We start from the raw sequence: 18,211 nt of genomic DNA, 5'->3' as shown, positions 1-18,211 counted from the left end.
ATCCTGTTAACCAGATGATAATCTTCAGCAATGCTCTTACCTGTTCTCACAGTAGGAGAGGAAAGACAAACAGGTTTCATCCACAGTGCCCATGGATTGCATCAGAATCATCCAAACTGTTCTCCTTGCTTCCTGCTCTGACCTCTTCCAGCCTGTTCACAACCAAGCACCTGGAGTGATCCCTGGAGGCTCCAAATCCTTCAGGGACTTTACGTGTCATGGACAATAAAAGCCAAAGGACTTCCAGTGCCCCACTATCCCACATGCAGCCTGAACCTCTATTATCTCTCTTACCATACTTCCCACTCTTCTAGCTATTCACTGCCTCTGCTCTAATCACTGCTTTTCTTTGAATACATCACGCACAGTCTTGCTGTATGGTCTTTGCACAAACTGTGCCCTCCGTCTGAACGGCTCCTCCAAAAATAGCTGCCTGGCTAACTCCAACATCTTTCTCAACTATTGCTTTCCAATGAGGGCTACTCTGACCATGCTATTGTAAAGTGCAATCCAATACCCCATGCCCAGCACTGTGGATCTCCCTTGTCCTGCTATATTTTTCCATGGCATTTATTGCCTTCTAACATACCATATATTTTATTATGTGATGTTTAGTGTCACCCTTTCGTCATCCTGTGAAAAATCTACCCTCACAGGGTGAAGATTCTTGACTCTTTCATTCATTAACAAATTTTAGGAACACAGAACAGTGTCTGGTTCACAGTTAGTGCCCTACAAGTTTTGCTGAATGAATGAATAAGGGTAATGTGTATATCAGAGTAATGTAAGCATAACCAGGTAAGCGATGAGTACATGGTAGCAATGATCATAAAAGGATTCTATTATAAATTATCACTGGACTAAAAATGGCAGTCCTAGTACACAAGACACGTACTTGCCATCACTAAAACATTGCCTACCCACATGATGCCCTCTCTCCACAAAATTGATCCCTGGTGAGGAGTAACTATTGACCGCCCACTGAGTGGTGACTCCTTATGCTAAGCACCACGAATACAAGGGCAGGAGCAGGATTTTTGGTTGCACAGCCGGTGTTTCAGGCACCCATCCTCCCAGGGAACCCAAGAGAAGAGCCCTGTATCTCCTTAGTAAATGCAGAACCCAAGCTCCCAAGCCATTTTCCCCAGGCCATCCTAATGGCTCCCTCAGCCTTGATGGGAGAAGCCACGATGTTCCCACCCATCGCCTTTTAGTAGCCACAAGAACCTGCCCGCCCACCCACTGCACGCCCATTGGTTGGACAGTGGTAGAGGCGGGCCCTGACGAGCGCATGCTCAGAGGGAGAAGTCAGCGGAGAAGCTGGGAGCTCCTTTGGAGGCTGCGGTGTCCCTGACTCTCCTGAGGGGGGCTCACTAACGGGTGGGTCCCATGCCACAGTGTCTGAGGAGAAGCAGGAAGTGAGTCCCTGAGGAGACGCCGTGACCTGAGGGCTTCCCTTACTGAGGAGGCCTCGTGCTTCATCTGCCACAAGCGGTGCCCAGGCCGGTGGTGACAACTGGGACGATGCTCAGGCTTCTGAGACTTGCTTTGGCCTTCTACGGGAGGACGGCCGACCCTGCAGAGCGACAGGGCCCACAGCAGCAGGGCCTCCCACAAGGTATTCCTCTGTGTGTCCCCTTGTCCCCCACCCCAGAAGCCTCCCAATAGGGGTTCTCCTCACCCCCGGAATGAGGCTGTTGTAACTCGGGTGGGTACTGCACGTGACGGTGGCTCCATCTTGTGCGTGCATGGGGAGGCAACCCGAGGCAACCCGAGTCCTCAACAATTCCCTGAGAACCAACCCCCAAACTCTCCTGTCCATCTAAAGCGGGAAGGTGTTGACAGAGAAGACCTTGGGGTCTGTACCGCCTGTGCTTTTCCCCCACGTGGTCGCACAGCACATGCCTATTTATATTTCCAGTAGGCGAGAAACTCCCTAATTTGCGAGTTAATTTAGGCTTGTATCCCAAACGGGAATGTAATTTGAAGCCAAGTTGATGCCTCATACTTATCTGATCCCAAAGGAAGGCAGAGAACCCCTGCCGGCGACTGCTGAGGTTTGATCCCTAAGTATTGCTGATCAGCTAGGCTTGTGCAGAATAAAAAAAAAAGAAGAAGAAGAAGAAGGAGAAATAAAGAAAACCATTCAGATGCCGTTTTGGGCTAGCCTTCAATCTCCAGATATCTTTTAGTACTTTGTCTGCTGAGATGGTTAAGTATCTATAGAAGGTGCTACTCATCATGTTGGTGATAATGATGAAGGAATATAATAGGAGCAGAAGCTTAAAGACTCATATGTAGAAATGCTAACAGGTAACATTTACACACTCTTGTGCAAGGCACTCAGAGCTCTCGACAGTTGATGTGCATGTGTCAGTTAATATTCGTAAGCTGGGCGCGGTGGCTCACACCTGTAATCCCAGCTCTTTGGGAGTTCCAGGTAGGTGGATCACTTGAGGCCAGGAGCTGGAGACCAGCCTGGGCAACATGGCAAAACCCCGTCTCTATTAACAATTCAAAAATTAGCTGGGTGTGACGGTACACACCTGTAGTCCCAGCTACTGGGGAGGCTGAGACATGAGAACCACCTGAACCCAGGAGGCAGAGGTTGCCGCTAGCCCAGATTGCGCCACTGCACTCCAGCCCCGGCGACAGAGCCAGACTCTGCTCAAAAAATTAAAAAATAATTAAAAATTAAAATTTTTAAATTTTAATAAATTTTTAAAAATATTTTAAAAACCTACAACAACCCTATTAGGCGAAATTGTGATTGTTGTGGATTGACAGATGAAAACAAGGTCAGAGACGTTATAAAACTTCTCTGCCCAGGGTTATGCAGATGGTGAGTGTAAGACTTACTTGTAGTAGGTGTTTGCATTTGAGGCTAATAATGTGACCTTGTTTCTTTATCTTGTAGGTGACACCCAGTTGACAACTGTGCAGGGAGTTGTCACAAGTTTCTGTGGTGATTATGGCATGATTGATGAGTCGATCTACTTCAGTAGTGATGTTGTGACTGGCAACGTGCCTCTAAAAGTTGGACAAAAAGTTAATGTGGTTGTGGAAGAAGATAAACCACATTATGGATTGAGAGCAATCAAGGTGAGATGTGCATGAGTTTGGGAATTGTGTCTTATCCCAGTGGGCTTTCTTTCTCCATCTTTCTTTTCTTGAGTTAATCCGACATCTCTGCTGTGATCCGTAGAGTGGATGTAGACTGCAATTTGAAGCCCCCCTCCTCTGAAGCTGTAGCTTCTTCTGTTGTAATATTTGTAGTAATTTGTGCTGTAAAACATAAAAGCTTACTTATCTATTATTCTAGTCTTTAAACAATATGAGTAACAATAATAATTATTGAACTCTTTATAATCTTACAACTTCCCTTATCAGGTAAAAAAACATTTTCTGTAGTGTGCATTCAAAACAGTGGAATTTCTATGTCAAGCCATGTGCATTGTAAATATTTTAAAAAGAGCTTCATGGAATTATAATTCACCAACCACAAAACTCTCTTAAGGGTACAATTCAATAACATTTGCAGATTTACGGAGTCCTGGCAACATCACCTGAGCCCAGATATTTGCCCATTCAGTGGCTATTATGAAATTATTCTTTAGCTCTATTGTACTAATTGATTCTCTCAGCAATAGGAGGTGAGACTGCCCATCTGCCCATATAGGCAAGGACAACAATACTATCGATCTGAAATCTTTGCACATATGAGAAAGGAAAAGCAGTCTCATCATTCATTTGGAATTATTAAGGGTCTTCATGAGATTACAGTAAGTTTTATTTCTTAGACCTACTGATACAATAGGGATATTTATGGCTATCTCTATGGTAGGAAAATTAGATTTGTAATAGGAAAGTTTGTGTATGAAGCCCTTGTAGTATTTCGTCTGATACCATCTTTTTCCTTTGCTTTATGTCTTTCATTCTTTTACAGCATTATTGAGATATAAGTCACGTGACTATACAATTGGCCCACTTAGAGGGAACAATCTAGTGGTTTTTAATTTGTTCACAGAGTTATGCAATCATCACCACAATCAACTTTAGAACATTTTCATTACTCAAAAGGAAGCTCTTCGTGCTCCCCCAACTGTCCCCTCCCCCAACAACATCCAGCTCCAGGAAATCACTTATCCACTTTCTGTTTGTATATATTCTGGACAGTTAAAAAAGGTTCCTTCTATACAACTGTAATTATATGTTCTTTCACCAACATCTTCTCATTCCTCTGTCCACCCTAACAACACAAGCGTCTGGTAACCACCATTCTACTCTACACTGCTATGAGATCAACTTTTTTATCTTCTGCATGTGAATGTGACCGTGCAGTATTTGTCTTTGTGTGACTGGCTTATCTCACTTACATATCATTCTCCAGGTTCATCCAGGTTATTTCAAACGGCAATATTCTGTTCTGTTTTATGGCTGAATAGCATTCCCTTGTGTATTTATACCACATTTCCTTTATACACTCATCCGTAGATGGACACTTAGATTGCTTTCATTTCATAGCTATTGTGAATAGGGCTGCAACAAACATGGAAGTGCTGACATCTCTTTGACACACTGATGACACTCTCTTTGGATACATGCTCAGTAGTGGGATTCATGGATAGTGTGATAGTTCCATTGTTAAAATATTGGGGAATGTCCATACTGTTTTCCATGGTGGCTGTAACAATTTACATCCCACCAACCGTGCATAAAGCTTCCAATTTCTCCACATCCTTGCCAACACTTGTTATATCTTGTCTTTTTAATGTTAGCCATTCTAACATGCGTGACTCGGTATCTCTGTGGTTCCGATATGCATTACCCTGATGATTAGAGAAGGTGAGTGTTTTTTCACATGCCTGTTAGCCATTTGTATGTCTCCTTTTGAGAAATGTCTATTCAGGTCTTTTGCTCATTTTTAATAGGATTATTTGTTTTCTTGCTATTGTGTTGTTGGAGTTACATTTTGGAAACTGACCCCTTACTAGATACATAGATTGTCAATGTTTTCTCCTATCGCATAGATTGTCTCTCCACTCTTTGATTGTTTCCTCTGTGGTGCAGAAGCTTTTTAGTTCAATGTAATCCCATTTGTGTATTTTTCCTTTTCTTGCCTTTGCTTTTGAGGTCCTGTTTTTAAAATATCGTTGCCCAGAACAATGTCATGGAGCTTTCCCCCTATGTCTCCTTCTAGTAGTTTCACAGCTTTGGGTCTTCATTTTAAAGCTTTAAATCATTTTGAGTTGATTTATATACACGCTGAGAGATAAGGGTGGAAATTCATTTTTCTCAGATGAATATCCAGTTATTTTCAACATCATTTATTGAAGAGACTGTACTTTCTCAACATTGTGTGTTCTCGGGCCTTTTGTCAAAAATTAGTTGACTGTAAATGCACAGATTTAATTCCGGGCTCTGTATTCTGCTCCATTGGTTGATGTGTCCGTTTTTATACTGGTACTGTGCTGTTATGCTTACTATAGCTTTGTCATATGTTTTGACATCATAGTGTGATGCCTCCAGCTTTGTTCCTTGTATTCCAGACTGCTTCAGCTGTCTGGAATCTTTCATGGTTCCATACAAATTTTAGGAGTATTTCTTCTATTTCCAAGAAGAATGTCATTGGTATTTTCATAGCAGTTGCATTGAATCTATAGATTGCTTTAGGTTACGGACATTTTAACAATATTTTATTCTTCCTGTTCATGAACACATGATATATTTCCATTCATTCCTGCCTCCTTCAATTTGCTTCGTCAATGGTTTATAGTTTTCAGTGTTGCAATCCTTCACCTCCTTGGTTAAATTTATTCCTATTTTAATTTTTTTGAAGGTGTTGTAAATGGGATTGTTTCTTGATATCTTTTCCAGATAGTTCCCTATTGGTGTATAGAGATACTACTGATTCTTGTATGTTGGTTGTGTCTCATGCCACTTTCCTGAATTTGTTTATTAGACCTAGTAGCTGTTTGGTGGTGTCTTCAGGGTTATTTATAAGTAACAGCTTCCCGTCTGCAAACAGGGCCAATCTAAATTCTTCCTTTTGAATTTAGATGCCTTTTGTTTCTTCTTGCCTAATTTCTCTGGTTAGCACTTCCAGAACTATGTGCGATAGAAAGGGCAAAAGTGGGCATTTCTGTCCTGTTCCAGGTCTTAGAGGAAAAGCCTGCAACACTTCCCCATTCAGTATGATGTTATCTGTGGGTTTATCATATATGACCTTTATTGTGTTGAGGTGCACTCCTCTTATACCTAATTTGTGGAGTTTTTAGTCACGAAGAGGTGTGGAATTCAATCAAATGCTTTTCCTGCTGAAATTGGAATGAACCTATGGCTTTTTTCCTTCATTCTTTTCACGTGATATAGCACATTTATTGATTTGTGTATGTTGAAACTTCCCTGCATCCCAGGGATGAAGTCCTCTAGAACATGGTGAATGATTTTTTTAATGTGCTGTGGAAATTGCTTTACTAATACTTTGTTAAAGATTTTGCAACTGTGTTGATCAGGAATTTTGGCATGTAGTTTTTTTTGGTTTTCTCTTCTTTCTGTTTCCTCATCTGGGTTTTCTACCAGGGTAATGCGTTGTGACAGAATGAGTTCGGAAGTGTTCGTCTCTTGTCCGTTTTTTTTTTTTTTTTTTTTTTTTTTTTGGAATAGGTTTAAAAGTATAGCTATTAATTATTCTTCTTTATATATAAATTTGGTAGTATTAGGAAGGGAAGTCATTCTGTCTTGGACTCTTCACTGATGGGGGATTTTTTATTACTGAATCACTTTCCTTACTCATTAATGGTCTGTTCAGATTTTCCATTTCTTCACCATTACATCTCGGTAGGTTGTATGTGTCCAGGAATGTAGCCATTTCTTCTAGCTTGTCCTATTTGTAGGCAGATGATTGTTCATAATCTTCCTTATGATACGTTTTGTTTTGGTGATGTCATTTGTGCTGTGTCCTTTTTCATCTTTGATTTTAGTTATTTGAATCTTCTCTCTTTTTTCCTTAGTCTAGCTAAAGTTTTGTTGATTTGCTTTACCTCTTCAAGAAACCAAGTCATTGTTTCATTGATATTTGTATTGTTCTTCTCATTTCTATTCATTTATTTCTGCTCTGACCTTTATGATTTCTGTCCTAATTTTGCATTGCATTTTTTTCTTGTTTTTCTAGTTCCCCAAGGTGCAGTGTGAGGTTGTTTATTTAAGATGTATCTTTTCTTTTGAGGTAGGTTTTATTGATGTAAACTTCACTTTTAGAATTGCTTTTGCTGTATTTCATGGGTTTTCGTATGTTGTGCCTTCATTTTGCTTCAACTCAAGAAATGTTTACACTTTGCTTCTAATTTCTTCATTGACCCATTGGTTATTTAGGAGCATGTTGTTTAATTTCCATCCACTTCTAAAGTTTCCAAAGTTCCTACTTTTATTGATTTCTAATACTTTACCGTTGTGGTTAGAGAACTGATTTGATGTTATTTCAAATTCCCTTAATTTGCTAGTACCTGTTTTATGACCTGCCCCATAATCTATCCTCGAGAATGTTCCACATGCAGTTGGAAAGAATATGTGTTTTGGAGTATTTGGATGGAATGTTCTGTAAATGACTGTCAGGTCCATTTGGTCCGGAGTGCAGATAAATCCCACTTTTTGTGGGGTCAATGTTCTGTCGGGACAATCTGTTCATTGCTGCAAGTTGGGTGTTGAAGTCCCCTACTATTACTGCATTGCACTCTATCTCACCATTTATACCTTAATGTCTGCTTCATATATTTAGGTGCTGCTATGTTGGGTGCATATTTTTGGAAATCATTATATCCTCTTGATGAATTGACCCCTTCATCATTCTATAATGATCTTGGTCTCTTTTTACAGTTTGTGATTTAAACTCTATTTTATTTGAAATCAGTTTAGCAGCTCCTGCTCTCTTTTGGTTTCCCTTTACATGGAAGAATATCTTTTTTCATGTCTTCACTTTCAGTTTACGAATGCCCTTTAAGGAGAAGTGGGTCTCTCATAGGTTTGATTGTTTTTGTTGTTGCTTTTTAAATGTATTCAGCTACTCTGTGCATTTTAATTGGGGGATGTCATCCATTCCTATCAAGGTAATTATTGATAGGTAAGGATTTATTGTTGTCATTTAGATAATTTTTTTCTATCTATTTTGTAGGTAATTTCTTCCTTTCTTTCTCTTTTACTGTTTTCATTGATGGATAAGAGATTTTTCTCTATTAGTGTGTTTTGTGGTTTTGTTTGTATTTGTTTTAGTGTGTCTATTACAGGATGTTTTTCTTTGTGGATAGCATGAGGCTTACGGAAACATAATCACGGCAGATTATTTTACTGATAACATAACTTTGATCACAAAATACAAACACTTTACTATTTAACTCCACCCTGGGATTTTGAGTTTTCTATTTCACACTTTACAATTTTTTATATTTTGTATCCCTTAACAAATTATTGTACTTATTTTATTTTTACTAGTTCAGTTCTTTAACCTTTACATGAAAGATATAAGTGATCTGGAAACCACCATTACCTTATTAGAGTATTCTGAATTTGTGTCGTTACCTTTACTGGTGAGTTTTATACCTTCAGATGTTTTTGCATTACTCATTAGCGTCCCTTACGTCAGTTGGAAGAACTCTCCCTAGCATTTCTTGTAAGACAGTTGCGGTGGTGAGGAAATTTCTCAGCTGTGATTTCTCTGTAAAAGTCTTTATCTCCCCTTCACTGCTGGGTACATTATTCTTGCTTAGAGATTTTTTTCCTTGTGTTCCTAAAGTATACTATACTACTCTCTCCTGGCCTATTATGCTTCTGCTGAGAAGTCTTCTGGTAGGCATATTGGAACTGCCTTATATGTGATTTGCTTCTTTCCTCTTACTGCTCTCAGGATTCTTTCTTTATTTTTCATCTTTGACAGTTTGATTTTAATATGTCATGGGGTAATCTTATTTGGATTGTATCTGAATGCAGAACTTTGGTCTTCCAGTACCTAGACGTTTGTAACTTTCTCTGGGTTTGGATGGCTCTCCATTATTATTTTTTAAATGATCTTTTTACCTCTTTTTCACTCCTCCCTCTTGAATGTGAATGACTCATACTATTGCTCTTCTGATATTGTCCCAGAAATCTAGTTTTTTTTCATTCCGTGTCCTTCCTTTTAATTTTGTCTCCTCTGACTGTATATTTTCAATGAACCTGTCTCCAAGTTTACAGATTCTTTCTTTTGCTCAATCAATTCTTCTTTGGATGTTCTCTATCGTGTACTTCCTTCACTGTATTTTTCAACTTCTGGATTTGCTTGGTTTTTAACAATTCTTTCAATCTTTCCTGCAACTTACTTTGATAAATCCTGAATCATTTCTCTGTAATTGTTTTCAAGGTTCACAGAGCATGTGGAAAATAGATATTTTGAATTATTTGTTAAACAACTCATATATTCCTGTCTCTCTAGGGTCAATTGCTGGCACCTTGTTTTGTCAGTTTGGTGATGTCATGTTTTCCTTATTGTGTTTGATCTTTGTGGTAATGTGTTTATATCTGCGTATTGAAGAAGTAGGTATCCATTTCGGTCTTTGCAGTCTAGCTTTTAGGGGACATCCTTTAGCAGTAAGCCTGTCCAGAAACTCTATATAGGTCTCTTTTGGTCCTTATGCTTGTGAACACTACAGCTATTGAAGCACTAGGGGGATGCCTATTCACAGGGACACAGCGGCAGGTGCTAGGATGGCTGGGATTCCCCTAGCTATTGAGGCTGGTCCCTTGTGAGACTGGAATCCAAGCCTCCATTCACTGAGAACTCCCTGTTGCTGTAGATTATTCTGAGCATAAGGCCACTGGAATCACTAGGGAGAGATGTGGGCCAGATATTGAGTTTGTTTTGCTGTGGCTGTGGCTTCCTGTCTGGTGCCAGGGTGGGTCTAGAGACTCTGTCCACAAGTACCATCTGAGAGTCAGGGGCCATGGGCATCTGTCAAGTGGTGGCCTGATATTGGGTTCCTAGGCAATGTCCTATGCTTGCTACTGTCTCTCTCCTCTGGATGGATGGTATCTCTATTTATGCTTTGCTGTTGAAGGTCGGGGAAGGGGTGATGTGGGTAATGTAAAACTGTCCTTACTACCCTCTTCAGTGCATGTTTTCTTATTTTCATGCTATAACCGGGTACCATGGTCTCTCACCTGGTTTCTTTATGTCAAGTGACGATATTTTCATACAAGGATAGTTTTTCACATTGATGTTTCTGCAGGAGGACAATCACTGGAGAGTCCCATTTCTCCATCTTGCTCCCCTCCTCCTCTATCTGCTTAATTTTTACATACTATAAATATGTCCATCTTGTCCATGTGGCTTCTGGGTTCAGGAAGTATCCTTAGGCTAATTCTAAGACATAATTTACACAAGTATTCACTTAGCTTTTCTTCTGAAAGTCATTCATTTATTTATATCTAAACATACAGCCAGCCTGGGTTTGCTTTTCATGTGCAGGACTGAGAGAAGGATCCACATCTTGTTTCACTACTGGCTACTCAGTTGTCCCTCAACATTAATTGTATAATCCACATTGCCCCTTTTTATTGAAATGCCACTTGTGTCATACAACACATTATCGTAAACATTTGAATCTATTTGTACCGGCTGTTGTGTTGGTCGTCTTTGCAAGGCATAAGAAACAGAGCTGGGAGCCATGAGACATGGGCAAAGCTTTAGTCTGCATATGTCTGTGAGTTGGCGTGGAGTCAAGGAACAGAGAGGTCCGAGGGTGCTGTGGATCATCCACTGGGATACTGACGGAAGTGGTGATAGATATGTGGATGGGAGGCTAATGCCTCATTCCTTCATGACAGTAAGTGAGGGGATAATAAACATCAGATTGGTATTGACAGCTGGAAAGACACCAGTTTAGAAATGAGAATAGCAGCAAACTAGGCTATTTTTAAAACCATGAAAAATTCTTTACAACTCAGTGGCTCAAGTTTCCATCAGAAGTCTCTGCTCAGCAAATGCCAACCCTAGGATTTTATCCTATAGTTAAGTCAGGCAAGTAGTCCAAATGCTATGACACAAGTGAAATGTCTAATTATGTGAAATTGGGTTAGTAAATTACGGCACATCCATTAATTGGGATTCCCTATGACTCTTTCCGTCCTCTCTTGTTATTTAAAAACTTTTGTGTTCATTTAATGTGATACTTTAACACTGAATACCATGCTAATTTGCTTTTAAAACAGGCATTTACACATGTATATATATTTGTGCACAGACAAAAACATCAGGATGAGTGTTACTGCCAAAAATGTAGTCCCTGGTGATCTCTTGGTAATGAATTATGGATTGTGGGGTAACTGCTTTTTGCTGTCTGCTTATCTGTTTTCTTTCCTACTTTTAGTATAACAAGCTTACACTATTTTTGTAAGTTTTAAGGATTATAAAATAAGGACTATTACACTTCCAACAAGGGAAAAGGTTTGTATGCCTCTCTATTGTAGATAAAGTAAAGCCCTAATTTGACTTGGTTTTTCGAACCTCCCCCAGTTGAGGTTATTGCTCCAACTTTATCTCATGCTTCTGTCTCCTAGGCCTGGATCTCGGATGTTAGGGTTTTGCTCCCTAGGCTCCTAACTTCTGTTGTTTTTTCTCTCTGCCTCCCTGCTCCTTTACCCCGTCTTCTTTCCCAACCCAGCACAAATCTGACTTCCCCTAAACAATGCTTCTATTTTCTCCCTGTCTGAAATGTTCTCCCTCTAGATAATTCACAGAAACCATCTTTGAACTAGTTTTATATCCTTCATCGCAACCTGCTTATGACTATATACCTTTCCACTTTACCGTCATTTCACTGTGAATTTCTGCAGGCGAAGGACGGTATTATTTTAATCTTGGAATCTAATGGTACAAGGACATTAAACTTGGGTATGCAATTAATGTTTTGGGATACATTTCACAATTCTTGAAGCACGCACATGACTTTTACTGTCATCTCAAGTCAATGGTCCACTTACCAAGTGAACTATATTCTCCAGTGTTTAGGATGGCTGTTGAAAATATTTTTGAATACAAGTCTTTTAATCATGTAAGTTCCATGTTTAAATTTGTATTGTTTTTGAAGTAAACTCTTTCCTAAATCTTACAGGTGGATGTTGTGCCTCGCCATCTTTATGGTGCTGGACCCTCAGACTCAGGAACCAGAGTTTTAATTGGATGTGTTACTTCTATAAATGAAGATAATATTTATATTAGTAACAGCATTTATTTTTCCATAGCCATTGTTTCTGAAGGTATGATTTATATTTTGAAATATATGATGTAATTCTTAATTTTTTGAGAGGATTTTAGTCCTGGAACAACTTTTACAGTGTACTTGGCTTCAGTCAATGGCTCTTCAGTGTTAGAGGTAGACTGTTCCAATCGAAATTAAGTACAGTATAGGGGCAAATAGACAGTATTATAAATTGTGTGCTGTTGGTTATTGTGTGTTCATTTGTTCAATGCCCTCAGTAATGCCTGGATATACTATTCATTCATATGAGAATTTAATTTCTAATCAAGAAAACAATCCTACAAGTGCATAGAGACACTATTTTTAATACCCTTCAAAGACTATACTTGCAGGCATCATTTCTGTAGTTGGTTACTAGAGAAGTTTCTGTGACAAGGTAGACTACCAAATTTTAAAAGAATACACTTCAAATGCTTCAAACTTAGGATTGGAGATAGCGCCTTGTGGTTGTCTGTTTGTGTGTGTGTGTGTGTGTGTGTGTGTTGTTGTTGAATTCTCTTTGTAATCGGCAGATATATTCTAATATTTAGCTTCTACCCAACGATATTTTTTTGTCTGTTTTGTCTACTGCAGCTGTCGTATAGCTTGGGTATAAATGGAGAGATTAGCTCCGCTTCCCCAGGCAGCTTGCTAGTTTGTTTTCTTGGGTGCAAAAGCAGGATTCTGACCTGCATTTTGTTTGACGATGCTGACTCTGTCTGCTTTGTTGAGAAGAGACTATGAGGGGAAGGGTGGAGTCAGGAAATCAGTCAGGAAAACGTTGTAATATTCCTGGTGAGAGATGATGGAGATGTGAATGAAAATGGAGAAGTGGAAAACCTGAGGATTGAGTTGACTCTGGATATATTTTGAAGTGAGAGAAGAACCCAGGAGGTAATGGATTAGATCTTTGTTGTGGAGGGAAAATGAGTCTAAGGTACCTCCAAAGTTTTTGATTTGAGCAGTTGTGAGAGTGGAGTTGCCAGTTTGTGATGTAGACGACTGAGGCAAACAAAAGTTGGTGAATATGGAGAATACCAACAACTCAGCTTTACACACGTTAGATTGGTGTAAGCATATGGATAATTGACCCTGAGGTTGGTTAGAACTGGAGGCATATACATTTTGGAGTTATAAGCATATAGATATATGTCAAATCCACACAAAAGAAATGTATGTAAATTATCAGAGAGAGAGAGAGAGAGAGAGAGAGAGAGAGAGAACAGGTCTAACACAGTGTCTTATGTCATTCTACAGTGTTGGGTCCTAAGGTGAAGAAATGTTTAACTTTGTTGATATCACTAGTTTTCATTGTGGCAATTTACTGTCTCAGTTGCAGTTGGGATTTCCACTTGCTCCAGATTCTTTCACGTAACTTTGTTATCCTGTGACTCACTTTTAACTTATTGCAAACTTCTGTTTGAAACTTGATGGTCTTAACTGTAACCTGTAAGGCACATACTTAAGAGTTCATTAGTTGAACACAACACCAGGGGAAATTGATTCATTCTGAAAGTAACAACATTTCCTAGCGGTACTGCTACCACTACTACCAATCAACAGTTATTTGGTGGTTGCTATGCGCCAGCGATGATTCTGTGCGTATCACACATATCAACTAATTCTCAAGGCAGCTGTGTACCATGAAGGCTACTTACTGTGCTTCTCATTTTATAGATGAAGAAATCGAGGCACAGACAGATTAACCACCTTGGCTAAGGTTGCCAACTGAGTGAGTGGCAGTGTCAAGATTCGAAGCCACATAGCCAGGTTCAAACTTGTGCTCTTACCTATATGTTTGACTGCCTCTCACTAAGCAATTGTGAACACTAACAGTTGTTTAGTAAATCCTGTGCTGCTCCCTCATATTGGCTGTGATGCATGCTTCACACTTTCCTCCATTTAAATTTGTTAAATCAGTAGAGGAGAATCAATGCCTAAGGATTATAAACTTCTTTTTGGACTTAGAGATTTGTAGTGTCTGTTTAAATATGCACAAAATGGACTTTAGATTTAGCAGAACTGACTTTAAAGTAGTACACTATCAAATAACATGTGAAATTAAAAGTGACCTAGTTAAGAGATCATGACACTCACATTTCTCCATGGCTGTTTTAGATTTTGTGCCTTATAAGGGTGACTTGTTAGAAGTTGAATATTCCACTGAGCCAGGCATCTCAAACATCAAGGCAACTTCTGTGAAGCCCATCCGTTGTATTCATACGGAAGAGGTAATTTCTTTCCTGTTGCTCCCGTCAGCAGTTTCTGCTAACTCTTCCTTTGGTGATAATTTACGTGACCAGGATTCTGTTGGGTATAATGGGAATTCCAGAAAATATGAAGAAATACATTCTTTGCCAACAAAGGAGCCACTTTTCTTATTGAAAAGGCAGAATTTTCCAAAGGAAATAATTAGAAAATTATATAGAACAAGCACATGATTAAGTTCTAAATTGTGCATTTTACTCGATACCCAAATGTTATTAGAATCTTCCAAGGACAGGAGGAAGAAAAACAATCTTTGTGCCAGAAAACTATAGGGAAAGAATGAACGGAGTGTGTTGTGGGACTTGAGCTGACCAGTAGATGCTAAGAATGATTTGGTTATTAAAGCCTGAATATGCACAGGCAATTCAAGGCAACAGAGGGTAATGGACATATTTTGGTAATATTTAGAGCAGGATTTCTCATCAGAGACCCAGGCCTCATTCCCAGAGAGTCTGATTTAATTGGTCTGAGGTGGAGCGTGGACATGGGTATCCTTACAAAGCACCCCTGGTGTTAGCAATGGGCCAACCAGGTTGGAAATCAATGATTTGCATCGAAGTGACCTGCACTCATGCAGGACCCAGGGTGAGGAGGTGCAAAGCTGGTTACAGTGCTTATTGGGCTTTTCCATAATCATTTCCATTATTTATACTCACAGGTCTGCATTACTAGCGTACATGGAAGAAATGGGGTGATAGATTATACTATTTTTTTCACCTTGGATTCTGTGAAACTTCCTGATGGATACGTACCTCAAGTAGATGATATCGTCAATGTGGTCATGGTGGAGAGCATTCAGTTCTGCTTTATTTGGAGAGCGATTTCTATCACCCCAGTGCATAAATCGTAATGACAAAGCATTTTTATTCTGTTTATCTTTCCTTTTATGAGCAGTAAAGGGGCTGGTTTAACTTAAAAGGTTAGCTTAGTAAGCCTAAATAGTATTTTATATATGACTTTTCTGGCAAATCTAATTGAGACACTGGCCAGTCCAACTGGACCAGGAACCCAGCTTAGGGAAATAACTTATTAATTAAAAAGCATGCTAAATTAGCTTGCTAGTCACTGGAGGAAAGGAGTTCTTAATTAAAATGAACACGGCCATTAAATTTGAATTCCATATTTCCCATTAGCAGCAGCGGATTCCAGGATGACGGAGGCCTGGGACGGCCCAAAAGGGAACGTCGGAGCCAAAGCATTTAACTGAAAAGGCATCAGGGACAGCATGTTAAAGGCATGATTTAAAGTTACAATTTGACTTCAGTTTTGAGCCCCGTTATGCTGCCTGTACAACCTGTATTGTTCCATAGCCTCTTTCATCTTCTGTCACCCACATAACTTGCGGTGTTTGTTGTTTTACTTGTTCCTTCTTCCCCATGCTAGAATGTAAACTCCACAATGGCAGGATGTCTTTTAATCTGGTTTTTTTTTTTCTTTTTTCTTTCTTTTTTTTTTTCTGTTGTCATTAAAGCATCACCAAGCACTTAGAAGAGTGCCTGGCAGACTCAATGAGCAGATAAAATGTTATTAAGTTCAATGACTGAATGACTGGGCCAGCAATGATACTTACCTGTGGTTCATTCATCACTGGTTCCTTAGGAATAAAATTGTTGAGCAATGCACTAAGACCTCTCTGTTGATTTTTAAACAACACCAACAACCATAGAAAGTCGACTCTGCTGTACATGAGCCTCTGTGAGCCACTTTGTTGCAGGGGTGCAGCTCATGTGAAGTCACGAAGAAACGTACAAACACAGAGCCCCTTGAGGGAAGGACAAGCTGCTTACCCACTGGGAAAGGTTATACTAAAATCCCACAAGTAAACTCCAGGAAACTTCATGCTTTCTTCTAATAGAATATTTAACCAGGTAGCTGTGACCTAGGGGAAGGGATATATTCAGACCTTTGGGCATAGCTTGAGTGTCGTTGTAAACTTACCCTGAGTCCTGTGATTCATAATTCCACCATTACCACCGGTCCTTGAATAAACAGAGTTGTGTTTTGACTTTCCACTACAGATCCAGTGAGACCTCTCAGTTATCCAGGGATTTGTTTCCCGCTTGATAGAAACAGTGAAGGTCTTGTAAAGTTCCCATTTTCACTCACTGGTTCACTCCACAAAATCCTACTGATTCTCTTTGATGTGCCAGGCACTGTTGAGGCTCTAGAGTTATATCCTTAACCAAAAGGACAAAATTCCAGGCCCTAATGGAATTGTGTTCTTTCAATGCCCCAACCCCACCCCCCCGGCACCCCCACCGTCCTCGGCTTCCTGACCCATGCAGCAGTAGCTCCTATGATTGAAAGGGGTAAGTGGGAGCTGTGGCAACACCAGGTCCCTGTGAATGTCGTCATTCAAAAGCAACCCCACACCCTGTGGAATTACAGAGCAGTCCACGTTGGACTTGAGAGATGCAAGGGTCATGACTTTCACTACCTCCCCATTTAATTCTGCAGTTTGTTTGATGTGGAAGAATGTTCTTTGGGAGTTACAATGTATTATGATAAGCCCAATCAGCTGATGATTCAGTCACAGCCACTGTTTCACAAACTTCCTCACAGGACTGAAGATCACCTGGGAGGCAGCAGTTCAGCTGGGCAGTGGGGCAGGGATTGGATACATTTCCTCTATCTTCTTTCAAATAGCAAAGCCCAGAACTGCTTTGCTTTCATAAGGCAGACCAAGCGGTTCATTTTGAATATTTTGCCTCAGGGATGTGTTATGCCAAGGCTCTTTCCCACAATTGATAATGAATGGTCCTTGATCATCTCACCCCCATCACACCTGTGTCCCTAAATGGATGACCTCACGGCACAAGGACGGAAGGACTCAGGGACTAGGAAATAGTAGACTGTGTCAGAAACGTGCTTTCCCCACGTACAAAAGATTTGGATTGAAAATACAGGGACCTGTCACCACGAGTTTCTGGGGCGCCAGTGTTCTGCCACGGAGCTTCCAACTGCCCCATGCCGTGAAGGCGTTGCAGATGTGCTGATATCAGATGCCTCTCAGCTCATTTAGTGATACATGCAATGAAGAAAATGAAATAAGATAATGATCTTTAGCCGGGTTTGGCAAACTATGGCCCTTCTGCCAATTCTGGCCTGATGCCTGCAATGATTCTAAAACATAAAGTTATACTTAGGTACCCGGAGCCTAATCATGGCCCAATAGATTGAACCTAGTGTTCTCGCTGTCATGATAATGCATACTGTTAATCAAAGGGGTACATTGAAGCCTCTCATCGTGATTGTGGTTTCATCCTCTAACCACCTGTAGCTTTCAGAGGTTCTGGTTTGTCATTTCACTCCTCTTGTGAGATGCATAAATCTTTAACTGTACATCTGCCAAAGGGATATACTCTGTGAATGTAAACAACCCCTCTTTGTTATGCTTAGGGTGTAGTTCTCTGTTTTGTCAAAATTTCAAATTCTACTTAATCAGCCCTATTTAGAAGGATCCCTGTTCCCTTGGTGTTGGAGAATATGATGTTTTGAATTGAAGCTCTTATTTCTGTTGGCAAACTTGAGGTTGCACGTAAACCTCCAGTATCCAGCCCAGGAATACAGAGTTTATTCCATGTTTTCCTCTCTTTCCACCTTTCCATGTGTATTGTTTCCTTCTCAGCTTTGGGGAACCCTACCTTCCATTATCCTCTGTGTATTTACTTCTTTGC

General features: G+C 40.0%; 1 protein-coding gene across 2 annotated transcripts; it reads left to right on the top strand.

The window, feature by feature from the left end:
- The first annotated feature begins 868 nt into the window (after positions 1-868).
- On the top strand, positions 869-16,160 carry CT55 (cancer/testis antigen 55). Of its 2 annotated transcripts, NM_001031705.3 has the most exons (6): positions 1,298-1,618; positions 2,918-3,102; positions 12,141-12,285; positions 14,385-14,497; positions 15,193-15,380; positions 15,668-16,156. In NM_001031705.3, exons 1-6 carry the CDS (start codon positions 1,525-1,527, stop codon positions 15,735-15,737), a joined length of 795 nt encoding a protein of 264 aa, NP_001026875.1. In that variant the 5' UTR covers positions 1,298-1,524; the 3' UTR covers positions 15,738-16,156. The 2 variants fall into 2 exon arrangements, with proteins under 2 accessions (NP_060333.1, NP_001026875.1); NM_017863.2 differs by having other exon boundaries at positions 869-1,618; positions 15,193-16,160.
- Positions 16,161-18,211: the final 2,051 nt, after the last annotated feature.

Source organism: Homo sapiens, chromosome X (genome assembly GCF_000001405.40).
Source record: "Homo sapiens chromosome X, GRCh38.p14 Primary Assembly".
In the NCBI taxonomy this organism is placed as follows: domain Eukaryota; kingdom Metazoa; phylum Chordata; class Mammalia; order Primates; family Hominidae; genus Homo; species Homo sapiens.
Note: the sequence above shows the minus strand (reverse complement) of the source record. Positions and strands in the feature narration are given on the sequence as shown.

Bases quoted from the DNA above. Each gene is read 5' to 3' on its own strand.
- CT55 (NM_001031705.3), top strand. From the start codon at position 1,525: ATGCTCAGGCTTCTGAGACTTGCTTTGGCCTTCTACGGGAGGACGGCC. The intron at 12,286-14,384 runs GTATGATTTATA...TGGCTGTTTTAG, and splicing joins CATAGCCATTGTTTCTGAAG to ATTTTGTGCCTTATAAGGGT. The intron at 15,381-15,667 runs GTAATGACAAAG...ATTTCCCATTAG, and splicing joins ATCACCCCAGTGCATAAATC to CAGCAGCGGATTCCAGGATG.